General features: G+C 49.6%; 1 protein-coding gene across 13 annotated transcripts in view, besides 1 other annotated feature; it reads left to right on the top strand.

Annotated features, from left to right (window-relative positions):
- The window catches only part of GAS7 (growth arrest specific 7), a 288,001-nt gene that overhangs the window by 261,725 nt on the left and 13,316 nt on the right, over positions 1 to 12,960 (top strand). For all 13 annotated transcript variants that reach the window (NM_201433.2, XM_011524044.4, XM_047436955.1 and 10 more), the window contains 3 exons: positions 2,638 to 2,716; positions 10,113 to 10,241; positions 11,283 to 11,406. In NM_201433.2, coding sequence (NP_958839.1) covers positions 2,638 to 2,716; positions 10,113 to 10,241; positions 11,283 to 11,406 — 332 coding nt within the window. The remainder of the gene's footprint in view (positions 1 to 2,637; positions 2,717 to 10,112; positions 10,242 to 11,282; positions 11,407 to 12,960) is intronic.
- Positions 10,899 to 11,825: an enhancer, noted in NCBI's record as "H3K4me1 hESC enhancer chr17:9828374-9829300 (GRCh37/hg19 assembly coordinates)". NCBI's record gives its function as "activates a minimal SCP1, AML or CMV promoter by ChIP-STARR-seq in naive H9 embryonic stem cells {active_cell/tissue: H9 hESC(naive)}" and the evidence as "EXISTENCE:reporter gene assay evidence [ECO:0000049][PMID:30033119]".

Here is a 12,960-nt window from a genome sequence, read left to right as displayed (position 1 = left end):
ATAAACAGAATTCGGTTGTTTATTCTGCCTTTAGTTTTTCTCTCCTATGTGGAAAGGAAATGCGATTTTGGTTTTCCTAGTTGGCAGTCATGAAAACAACATGCATTTTGATTTGGCGTACCTGAAACTGTATGTTGGAACAGAGATGCACCTCAGGTTTTGTTTTGTTTTTCATTAACCGTTTATCAGATGAAAAATCTCTTTTCAAATGAGAGAATTTGTAAGTAGCTTTTTAATAAATGGTGATGTGACTCCAAAGAGCCTGGAATATTGGAGAGCAGGGAGGCATTCACCAAGGATGCACTGGCTCAGAGGGGCCCCTCTGAATGTCTGGAGACATGTCTTCCCACTTAGCAGTGTCTGGCCTGGAGGTAGAGCTGAGGACGTTGTGTTGGGTGGGGGAAAACCATGGTTCTTCCTTTCATCCCAGTTGCCCAGAGATGACATTCTCAGGCCACCACGACTGTCCCTGGGCCATTTACCTGCCATGTGCTCTGCTGACAGTAGACTGACAGCTCTGTGGAAAGATGCATGTGCTCATACAAAGTCTGGGCACCGCCTGGGGCCTTTTTGGCTCTGTGACTCTTGTTCATACCTCCCACAGGCTGCTGTGTGTGGCTCAGCTGCAGGGGCAAACCCCTCTCACTTCCCTTTAATCCAGTTCCCATTCCTCCCAGGACAACCTTGGTATGCTTCAAATAGTGTTGGCTTTCACCCTAGAGCTAGGAGGCATCTTGAGATAATTTGTGTGTATGGTGTGAGGTAGGGCCGAGATTCCTTTTCCTCCTGTGGATGTACGGTTGTCTCTGCACCATTTGTTAAAAAGATCATCTGTTTCCCCCATGGAAACACCCTAACCTCTTTGCTGCAGTCAATCGGCCCTAGCTGGGTGACTTTGTGTTCTGTTCCGCTGATCTGTGTAACTGCCAGGACTACTCCTGCCACCCCTGGACCTCCTACCCACCTGTTGAATCAGGTGGGGCACCCAAGCCACCCAGAGGGGGTGGAGTGCCCCAGTACAGCTTCCTGGATCTCAGGCCCTTCAGGCAGAGACAATTGTCAACAGCTTGGATTGCCCCGTTTCATACTCCAGTGCTTCTCTGGTGGCTTCCCCTGCCAGGATCACTGAGGGGACCTTTCTTTGCTGCTAGACTCCTAGATAAAATCAGGCAGTCATTTCCCATAAACACCCACCTCGGCCTGAGCCTGCGCCACCACCACACAGGGCTGGCCAGCCATCAGAGGGATCTGCTGTGCACTGTTGGGCAATTCTTCGCTGCTGGCTGCTCTGCTCCAGACCCAGAAGCCTCACCACATGCTGTCTTTTATTCAGCTTTTGCCACTCGACTTTAATGAATTCTCTGGGGGAAGTGGCTTTTGGATGATATTAAGTCAACAGAACATTCAGCCTGGATTTACTGGCTGTGTTGAAGAGGCTGGGAGCAAGAAAGCGGGGGTATCACTTGGAAGGGTCATGCGGTTAAAGAGCTCCAAATCATAGAGAATGTAGCCTGGGGCCTGCATTGGCAAGTCTTAGGGACTTCAGGAGATTTCTTCTACGTGAAGCCTCTCCTTGGAGTGGAGAAGTGATGCTGCTAAGAGGACTTGGCCCTTCTCTAGTAAGCTGTGGGCAGCATCAGGGCTCACAGCTAGAGAAGCAGTGCTAGAGGAGACCGTGCTTCCTAGGATGGCCGTGGGAGCCTTCTCTGCCCTGTGGCTGCATCTAGGTCACTAGACCCACACAGTCCATCTTCCCCACTCCTGGAAGCCAAGGAGCTGGGTTTTTCCTATAAGCAGCGCTGTGTGATACCTGCTGTTTGAAAAGAGCTTCTCCGGCTGGGCATGGTGGCTTATGCCTGTAATCCCAGTACTTTGGGAGGCCGAGGTAACCCCTCCCTGCAGCTGCTCTCAGTTGGTCAGGAGTTCGAGACCGGCCTGGCCAACATGGCAAAACCCCGTCTCTACTAAAAATATAAAAATTAGCCGGATGTGGTGGCACACGCCTGTAATCCCAGCTACTCGGGAGGCTGAGACAGGAGAATCGCTTGAACCCAGGAGGCAGAGGTTGCCATGAGCCAAGATCGCGCCATTGTACTCCAGCCTAGGCGACAGAGCAAGACTGTCTCAAGGAACAAACTAATAAACAAATGAAAAGAGCTTCTCCCTGGAATAGAACCTGTTTTCCTTCCTTGATTTATTAGCAGATGCTTGCACCCCTCATCAGCAAACCAGGGAGGGGTGATGTGAAAGCTCTGGGGACAGTGACGGCCCAGGGGTCAAGGCCCTCACTGCAGCTGAGGCTTTGGAATGTCCCCACACCTGCTTCCGGCACCTTCCTGGGTCCTTTCGAGCCTCTGGATTTCTAGGAATCCCCACCCCCCCCACCTCTTGGCTGTGCGCCACAGTCTGTTTCCTTAGCTCCAGAGGTAAGGTGAGCTCACTTGGACCTTGGTGGCTCATCTGACTCTGTGAGTTGAAACGTGATGCTCATGTCTGGTTTCTGCCTGACTTCTGCCTCATCCGCGTCCACATTCTCAGCTGTCATATACCTCCCCGAGACCTGGGGTGGAGCCCCACCATCCTGCCTCAGGAAGGGCTTTGGCTTGTGACCTGAGTCTCATGGTCTTTGTGTTGCAGCTCCTTGGGAGAGGCGTGGGCCCAGGTGAAGAAGAGCCTGGCGGACGAAGCAGAAGTTCACCTCAAGTTCTCTGCCAAGGTAACCCCTCCCTGCAGCCACCCTCAGTTGGTCTTACACACTGGGGTACTAAAAAATAGTTAACAACTGTCTCTCCAGTTTGCCGTTTGCCATTTTCCCTGGTGTAAACTTCAGGCTATCAACATGAAGTCACGGAATACGGAGTTGGGAAGAGATATCTGCCCAGTGGCTCACCATGAGGTGGTGCATTTTTGTATAGACACAGTAGCACAAATAACCATCAATATCCACCAAGAGCATGGAAAATAGTAAAGTGTAGTTAGGAGGTGGTAAGTGCTAGGTATTTATTGCCTTTGTTTTTTATGTTTTGTTATTTTTAAAAAGACAAGGTCTCACTGTGTTGCCCAGGCTGGAGTGCAGTGACATGATCATAGCTCACTGCAGCCTCAGCCTCCTGGGCTCAAACGATTCTCCCACCTCAGCCTCCCAAGTAGCTGGGACAACAGGTGTATGCAACCATGCCTGGGTAATTTTTTTATTTATTTGTAGAGATGGGGTCTCGCTATTTTCCCCAGGCTGGTCTTGAACCTCCTGGCTTCAAGCAGTCTTCCTGCCTCTACCTCCCAAAATGCTGGGATCACAGACATGAGCCACTATACCTGGCCTATTACCTTCGTTTTTAATATAATTTTTATTCAATTATAAGTTCATATCATTTCCTTTTTGATAATGGCCGTGTTTAACAACCAGCAAACAGAATTCCTGAAAATTTAACATTCAGCTCTTGGGAGCCACTGGGAGCAGGCCTTAGCACACCTGCCCAGTTTCTCAGGGCAGCCCCTGAGTGACGAAGCCCTGCTTTCTTTTTGCCTGGCTTTCAAAGGGATGGAGTAGGATGTCCTGTCTCTTCCTAGTGTCAGGGAACATTAGGTTATGCCAAAGGGAGAATTTTTTTTAAATTTGTGGTTGTTGCAAAATTTCAGAACAAGTAAAGGGTCCTTCTTTATTTATTTATTCATTTATTTATTGATTGATTTATTGATTTATTGATTTTGAGACAGAGTCTTGCTTTGTCGCCCAGGCTGGAGTGCAGTGGTGCGATCTCAGCTCACTGCAAGCTCCGCCTCCCGGGTTCAAGTGATTCTCCTGCCTCAGCCTCCCGAGTAGCTGGGACTACAGGCGCCTGCCACCACACCCAGCTAATTTTTTGTATTTTTAGTAGAGATGGGGTTTCACCGTGTTGGCCAGGCTGGTGTTGAACTCCTCACCTCATGATCCACCCTCCTCCGCCTCCCAAAGTGCTAGGATTATAGGCGTGAGCCACCACTCCCGACCATAAAGCATCCCTCTTTCATTTAATTCTGAAGATACTAGTGCCAGGACTCGAGGGCAGGGTGTTTCTGTCCTATTCCCATCCTCAGGGCTCAGGATGGTGTCTTGCATGTAGTAGATGCTTAATAAATATTTTCTTATTGAGTCATGAATGAACAGAGCCCTCTGACTATCTCCACCCCACCCCCAGTCTTTTCAGGTCTGCTTTCTCTCAAGATTTCTCCATGTTTCCAAGTGACTCTCCCTTCCCCACTCCCTGGCACATACCTCCAGGTTTTCTCTCCGACTCTCAGCTAATTTTTAGATGAAAAATAAACTAAATCTCTCAGTGAAGTAATCCACTCTAAAGTGTACATGATTGGTGGGGCTACCCATTAACAGGCTTGCCTTTTAAAGAAAGGGGCCAGGCGTGGTGGCTCACGCCTGTAATCCCAGCACTTTGAGAGGCTGAGGTGGGTGGATCATGAGATCATGAGATCGAGACCATCCTGGCCAACATGGTGAAACCCCATCTCTACTAAAAATACAAAAATTAGCTGGGCTTGGTGGCGCATGCCTGTAGTCCCAGCTACTCGGGAGGCTGAAGCAGGAGAATCTCTTGAACCCTGGAGGCAGAAGTTGCAGTGAGCCGAGTTCACGCCACTGCACTCCAGCCTGGCAACAGAGTGAGACTCTGTCTCAAAAAAAAAAAAAAAAAAAGCGGGGGGGACCTTTCAGAGTGCACCATCCCAGTGACCCTGGCCTCCTCGCTCTTCCCTCTGTCCTCCCACCATCACTAGTCAGACACAGCAGGGTAAAGTGCCTAAACGCTGAGTCTCCCTTCTTTAAACACGTGCTTGATCATTTGAAGGTAGCATCCCTCAGAGATGGTCGCTCCTTCCTGGGACTTCCACGTTCAGCACTCACTGGTCCTGTCTCTTTCCTAGTGTCGTTCCTACTGCAATTGCAAGTCCCTGCTTTGGGATCCCATACGATGTACCCCGTGGTGGTACTCGGCACACAGAAGGCAGAATGAATGACTCAGATGACTGAGACACGTGAAAGGACTTTCTAAAGAGCTGGGTTGGAAGAGGGAACAGAGCTGCTACAGCTCCCCATGGCTTAGTGTGCCCCAAGATTGAGTTGACACCCAGATGTGAGTGAGAATTCCCAGCCAGTGAAGGCATGCTAACTAACCTCATTACACCAAGCGCTTCAGTAGAAAATTGCTACTCAAGTCCTGGCAGAGAAGGGAACTCCGTGAATGGATCTTTTTCCTGCATTGCATCCAAAACAGCAAGTTATTTTTCAGCTGCAGATCATGAGTAGCTTTCCCCTCAAGGCCTCCCTTCCCCTGTCGGGGCCCCCAGCAGCTCCATTCTCTGCTGTGGTAGAAACTTCCATTGACTGGGAAGATCCTGGGCGGGCTGCCATTGTGATGGGGTGGGGCTGGGAGCCAGAGTTGCGAGCTTTGGAAAGGTCACCTGCTGGGTCCCCGGGAATCTTGGTGGCATTTACTCCCCATCAGCAGGACCCCTGATTCTTGATTGTTTAGAGTGCTCAACAGGTGGCAAAACTCTCTCCGACGTGGTAGTGGTGACATAAGTGGTGTGGATGGCTGTGTGCAGGATATAACTCATTGCCGTCAACCACCACGCGAGATAGCATACACATTTCACAGTGAGAAGAGGTGGGGTGAGATCACAGCCCATGGTCACACAGCCAGGTGGGTTCAGTCACAGAGGAAGCAAAGGAAAGGACTGAGCGAATGGGAGACTTGGTCCCCAGAGCTTTTCTTCCAGCAGCTCCCCTGCTTTGGCAGACCAATGGCATTGAAAACACAGCCTCTTCTTGAGCCTGTGCCTTTCCAGGGGTTGCCAATGGGCTACTGCAGACTGGCCCTGGACAACCACATGCTCAGAACATTTTAAGTTAGTGTTCAGGACACAGGGTGGACCTCACCATTCAGTTGACAGGAAGCTCATGAAGACCCGTCATGCAAAACAGACTTTGCTACGAGAGGCTCTCGGCTGCTTCCAGCCTGTCGGTCAGTGTTGGTGGCCTCAAGCGGTCATCGCAGCAGCCTAGTGGTTTTATGGCGATTCCTTGAGAAGAAAGTGGCTCCAAGGATGTATTTGACTGCCATGAATAATATAGCTCCATATGCCAAAAACCGTTTTTAATGTCTGCTCCAAAAGACTTATTGAAATTCTGCTCTGAATGCTCTGTGTCAGGGGTAAAAGCTCTTTAAGAAATGCAATTTTGTTGCAGCAATTTTTGTGGTTTTTCTGGTCCATTAGCTCAAGCCATTGCTAATAGCAACAGATTGCTAAAGAAATGAGAGAGCCGTATACAAAGAAAGTTATACCTGGCTCCTGCTGAAGAAGGGAGAAGAGCAGAATTCCTTCTGCTGATAGAAAATCTCATGCGGTAGAGGCTCTGCGTTCCATCAGAAGATTTAGGGGACAGGAGTGAGGAGACATGAGTTGTATCTCAGTATTGTCACTAACAAGCTCTGTGACCTTGAGCAAGTCACTTAGCTCCCCTGGGGTTTCATTTCTTCACATATGAAATGAAGAATTCAGACCAGATCAGTCTCTTTACACTTATCTGACAGTGACTTACAATGATGCATTTTATGTGAGCATTCAGAACCTGTCTGTAGGTATCCACTCCGATATCTGCACACAGACATTCACACACATCTGTAGCTGAAACAAACGTTTCATAAAACAGTATTTATCCTCCTACTTAAAATGTACTCTGGTATTTTCTGTTCAAGTCTGGTCTGTTCTCACCAAAAAGCTGGTCCTGGCCCATTAAATCGATTTCACAACTCTCGGCCGCACACCGTCTGAAAAATATCAGACTAGACAGTGTCTGAAATTCCTACCAACTTGGAACTTCTCTTATTCTCTTCTGATGTGTGAGATGAAAAGGAAGCAAAGAGAGCGAGAGTTTTGGAAAGAAAAACTGATGGGCCATGACAGGCCGGCCTGAGTCTGTGAGGACACTTTGAGGAAGGACTTCTGATTCCTGGTTCAACAGAGATGCTTAAAAGTTAAGAATGGGTACTAAAGATACCAGCCTAACCATTTTAAAGGAAAAAAAAAACTGTCTTTTAAAAGTACTTAATATCGTCGGGCACAGTGGCTCACACCTGTAATCCCAGCACTTTGGGAGGCCGAGGCGGGCGGATCATGAGGTCAGGAGATCAAGACCATCCTGGCTAACATGGTGAAACCCCGTCTCTACTAAAAATACAAAAAAAAATTAGCCAGGTTTGGTGGCGGGTGCCTGTAATCCCAGCTACTTGGGAGGCTGAGGCAGGAGAACGGCTTGAACCTGGGAGGTGGAGCTTGCAGTGAGCCAAGATTGCGCCATTGCACTCCAGCCTGGGAGACAGAGTGAGACTCCGTCTCAAAAAAATAAATAAATAAATAAAATACTTGATGTCTGTAGCGAGATGGAGATGCCAGGCATCCTCATCTGTGGAATCAAATCACTTGTGATAGTTAGCAGCGTCACGCTTCCAGAATGTCATTTGAATTTGGGGAAAGCTTCCTGGCATATTGGCAGGTTCATGGGCTTTTCCCCAGACCACAGAACCTGGGGCTGGGGTCCAGGAAACCTTAATGTTGAAAACTCTTCAGGTCATTCCTGGGCGTATTAAAGCCTGAAAGTCACTTGCTTTCCATGTCCTTAGAGACCCCGGAGTTTCTGAGTCAGCAGGCTGAGCTAACTCTCCCAGATTCCCGGAGTCGTACAGCTGCTCCTACTCAGCAAATGCCAAACCTATATACGTGGGAAAGGGGTTTATTTATTCTCGTAAGCTCTCAAGATTTTTGTAGCATCCTGCAAACTGCCGCCAGGTGGGGATGTTTTCCTATACAGGGAAGGTTCCAGGGGCTCAAAAAAAATAGTAGGACATATTTACAACTAACACGAGGAGGAGAGAGGGGTGTTTGGATGGCCAGTTCTCTGTTAGTCTGTGACGGTCATCCAGCGACAAAGCTGTCTTCTTGTCACCCAGGGGATTGAGCTCTGAAGAGTTTGTCATTCTCTCTACAAACACAGAAGGGGCACCCACCCAGCCCCAGCCCAGGTCAGACACTGGGCACAGCAGTGCTCAACCCAGATGGGGCCCCTGCCCGCTTGGAGCTCCCAGCCCCGTGTAAGTCAGTTGCTTAGAATAGGGACACCTAAGTCCTGGTTGTATCCAGAGAAAAAGATATTGTACAGCAAAAACCTGAGGGAGAGGAGAGAAGTCACAGAACCCTCGTTGGGATATCATCTGTCCAGGGAAGTTGAGCTGTGCTCCCTAGAGACACCTCTAAGACCGGTGGAGGCAGATTTGCGGTGGTGGGGTGGTCATAGGTTGAAGAGAGTTGCCTGATTCCAGGCAGTGGGGTGGGAGGGGTGCACAGGGCTAGGGTGCCACCTGGCTTTGACCACAGCAGGTCCCGTTGATCTGTTTTCTTATAAATGTTATGGGCTGGGCACGGTGGCTCACGCCTGTAATCCCAGCACTTTGGGAGGCCGAGGCGGGCGGATCACGAGGTCAGGAGATCGAGACCATCCTGACTAACACGGTGAAACCCCATCTCTACTAAAAATACAAAAAAAAAAAAAAAATTAGCCGGGCGTGGTGGCAGGTGCCTGTAGTCCCAGCTACTCGGGAGGCTGAGACAGGAGAATGGCGTGAACCTGGAAGGCGAGGCTTGCAGTGAGCCGAGATCGCGTCGCTGCACTCCAGCCTGGGCGACAGAGCGAGACTCTGTCTCAAAAAAATAAATAAATAAATAAAAAATAAATAAATGTTATGCTCACAAACAAAAGGAACAAATTTTAAGGAAAAGTTCTTTTAAAGGGGGGTGGGATGGGAAAGAGGGAAGGAATAAAAGAGAAGAAAAAAGCTTAAAACCCTGATGCCACCCAGCTCTTCTGACAGCATAAACCCTTTTCTCTGGCCCCTGGGATACAGGGCGGTTCCCTTTGCCTGTGCTCCAGGCAGCCCAGCAAGCTGAGAATGTCTTTATGAGCGCAATGCGGGACAGTTGCCCTTGTGAGTTTCCAGCAGGTCTCCAACAGTTCCCACCATCAGTTCCTCGAGGTTTGGACCCTGTCTAGCTCACCTTTGTATTCTCAGCACCTGCCATGGAGTAGATGTTCGATAAATAGGACTGACCTGAGACCTTCTAATTGAATGGCATTCATTCGACTGTTCTTTACTGAAGCCGCGTACCCCAGTCACTGTGCTGAGTGCTTGGAGACACAGACGCTGATGTGGTTTCTGTCCCCAGAAAGCTCTCAGTTCGGAAAATAAGGGAGAGAGACATAAGAACAAAGCCGTGCAAGAAGCTGTGGGATAAAATAAGTGTGTGAGGTCATTGATTATTATTGTTTTTTGTTTGTTTGTTTTGTTTTTTTTTTTTGAGACCAAGTCTCACTCTGTCACCCAGGCTGAAGTGCAGTGGCACAATCTCGGCTCACTGCAACCTCCCAGGTTCAAGTGATTTCCTGCCTCAGCCTCCTGAGTAGCTGGGATTACAGGCACCTGCCACCACTCCCAGCTAATTTGTGTGTGTGTGTGTGTGTGTGTGTGTGTGTGTGTGTGTGTGTGTATGTAGTAGAGATGGGGTTTCACCATGTTGGCCAGGCTGGTCTCGAACTCCTGACCTCAGGTGATCAACCTGCCTTGGCCTCCCAAAGTGCTGGGATTACAGGCATGAGCCACCGTGCCCAGCCCATTGATTATTAACTTGATTTAGCCATTCCACAATATATACATATTTCAAAACAGCATATTATAAACCATAAATAGTAAAAAATTCTAAAAATTTAAAAGCTGCAGAAGCTCAGAAAAAAAGTAGTTAACAGATGGGGAAATCAGAAGGCTCTAGTTGCTAACCACTTATCCTGTAGACGTGTGTGGGGGCCTCCTGAGCTAAGGTGACCTGCCTAAGCTGAGACCTGATAGGCAGCCACGTGTCAGGGGGTGTCTCTCACCTTCCTGCCAGGTCGCTACCCCAGACTCATCCTCACTTGCCTGGGGAAGTGGGGGTGCCCCTCCCATCCCTCCTCCCTGCACTGGCTTACAGCTGATGCCCTGGGTCCTGAGTGTGCGTCTCTACTCTCCCAACAGCTTCACAGCGAGGTGGAGAAGCCCCTGATGAACTTCCGTGAGAACTTCAAGAAAGACATGAAGAAGTGCGACCACCACATTGCCGACCTTCGCAAGCAGCTCGCCAGCCGCTATGCCTCGGTGGAGAAGGTGAGAGGCCCAGGACGCTGGGCCAGGGCAGGTGCATGGGGGACTGCCTGGAAGAAGGGGGACTGGGAAGCCAGCAGTGGCTCCATACGCCAAGGCTGAGTCTTTGTCCCCAGGTAGGGGAATAGGGGGATGTCCAAGCCTCGTGCCTACGCCAGAGCACCCCACCCATCCAAGGGCAGATAGGAGCTGCCTCCCTGTGGTGCTGGAATGACCACCCAGAGGGCCAGGGGTGCGAGGAGAGGCTGCAGCTGCAGTGGGCAGTCGAGTGGCTGTTGGCGACCAGTTAAACCCCGAGCCTAGCAGTGCTGCTGCTGGTTCACGTGGGGCCCCGTGTTTAAGCCTCACCTGGCTGAGTCGTCCTGACTCAGTCACCGCCTCCCTGCTCTCCTTCCTGCTCAGGGATGAGGCTGAGTCCTGGGTGGTCTCACCTCCAGGGAACTGATGTTCAGCCTTAGAGGGAAGAGAGTGTGCCCCAGGGACTGATTCCCAGTCCCCAGTGCCTTAGAGAGGAGAAGGGGGCTCAAACTGCTGGGACACCCTGGGCCCAGCCAACTGCCGCCACCCAAGGACCACAGAGATGCCAGTGGTGGCCTGGAGGAAAGGCAGTACAGTGAGGGGAACAAGAGGGCCGAGGCTTGTCCAGCTCCAGAACGGGAGGGCTGTTGCTACATCCTATTAAGTGCTGCAGGGAGGTGACACAGATGGCCTTTGTGGTCCCTTCCAAGCAGAGGGGCTGTGACTTTAGGACTGCCTAGGTCCCCAGTCTTTGTACAGGCTCCATCGGGAAAAAAACGTGGTTTGAGAGATTGAGGTAGGCTGAGTCCAGATGTCACTGGAAGAGGCAAGGACGAAAAGAGTTGGGTTGTAGCCTCTACCTAGCTGGGTGGTGCCACTCTGGCTGCTGGGCCTCTCTGGACCACTGTGGCATCATCCACACAAACAAGGGGCGAAAGGACTCCAAAGGGAAGCTGGGCTGCGTGGCCCAGGAGGCCCACTGGCTCCGAGCTGTATGAGCAGCTTCTCCGTGTCCTTGGACCCCAGGCCCGGAAAGCCCTCACAGAGCGGCAGAGAGACCTGGAGATGAAGACCCAGCAGCTGGAGATCAAGCTGAGCAACAAGACAGAGGAGGACATCAAGAAGGCGCGGAGAAAGTCCACACAGGCTGGTAAGTGCTGGGCACCCGCCTGGCCTGGTCAGTGCACACAGAAGGAGAGGGCACGGGGCTAGGAGATGAGGTGACTGGCGAGGGTGCATCTCTCCTTTGCAAGACTGCAGCGAGGAAATTACTTCCCTTGTTTGCCAGGAGGTACCCCCTCTTCCCTTCTCTCTGACCCACACCCAGAGATCTCAAAGAAAGAGACTTTGGGGGTCAGAGGAAGGACACAGGCCGGGCTAGTTCTGGGGCATGGTAGAGGCTGGACTCCTTACTCTCTCCCTGGTCGTGGCTTTTTTTGTTTTCCGCCCAAGCCCCAGATCTCTGACCAGGAGGTGGACAAACTCCTTCATGCACTGAGAGCTCAGGGCCCTGTCCCTGTTCAGAGCCCACAGAAGCACACAGCTCACCCAAGCTGCCCACTTCCCCAGGAAGCAATGCTCTCTCTGAAGGTTCACCTATGGGGATGGGCTCCTGCCCTGGGAACAGAGGCTGACACTTTGTTTAAAGAAATAACCAGATTTCAGTCTCTTGGGAATAGTCTCCCAATGAGTTGGTTTCTGCTTCCACCTAGTGGTCAAAGTTAGCTAATACACAAAGAGGAAGAGAAGGCCTGGTAGAACCAGTGAAAACCTCGGTAACTAGATCTAAGGGAAGCCACGTTTCACTGCACGAGAGGACACGCATGTTGCCTCTGGAATTAGAATGTGTGCCGTAGTATTAGAGTTTGGTCTGTAGGTCCCTTTCACCTCAATTTCTGGTGAACCTGTTACAATTCCTTCATTATAGAAGAAAGCAGCCACCTTACATTTCAAAATAAGGTAAGATAGAAATAAGTCAATAAAAAATAATGTAATAGAAGGATAACGTTTATTATACAAATCTTATAATGCACAATAATAAATTACAGGATCAAGAAGTAGAGGGCACAGTATATTTATTGGTAGAGAGAAGGGGGGGCACAGAAGGGGAAGAGATCTGTTTAAATTATTAAGTTATTAAAAAAATAACTTATAGGCCAGGTGCAGTGGCTAACACCTGTAATCCGGCAGTCTGAGAGGCTGAGGCAGGAGGATCAGTTGAGCCCAGGAGTTCGAGACCAGCCTGGGCAACATAGTACCTCATCTCTACAAAAAAATTTGAAAAAATTAGCTAGGCATGGTGGTGCATGCCTGTAGAATCAGCTACTCAGGAGGCTAAGGTGGAGGATGGCTTGAACCCAGGAGGTTAAGGCTGCGGTGAACTATGATCACACCATTGCATTCCAGCCTGGGTGACAGAGAGAGACTCTACCTCAAAAAACAATTATATTGCAAAAACAGTATTGGTACATGGCAAAATATTTTAATCAGCAGACAAGAATATAAAATGCTATTCACAGAAATAATCACCATCTCTTCCTAGTGTTTTGATTTTTAAATATTTAAATTTATATACATTTGATCATACAATCTATCTTCTGAACTTATTTAATATATCTTGGAAATACCTCTTTTTCATTTCTGTAAATCTTTTTGCCCATCCATTCATGCATATCAAACTTTTTAATGGCTGGCCAGTGTCCAG

Source organism: Homo sapiens, chromosome 17, assembly GCF_000001405.40.
Source record: "Homo sapiens chromosome 17, GRCh38.p14 Primary Assembly".
Classification (NCBI taxonomy): domain Eukaryota; kingdom Metazoa; phylum Chordata; class Mammalia; order Primates; family Hominidae; genus Homo; species Homo sapiens.
The sequence above is the reverse complement of the archived record's forward strand: the minus strand, read 5'-3'. Positions and strand labels throughout refer to the sequence as shown.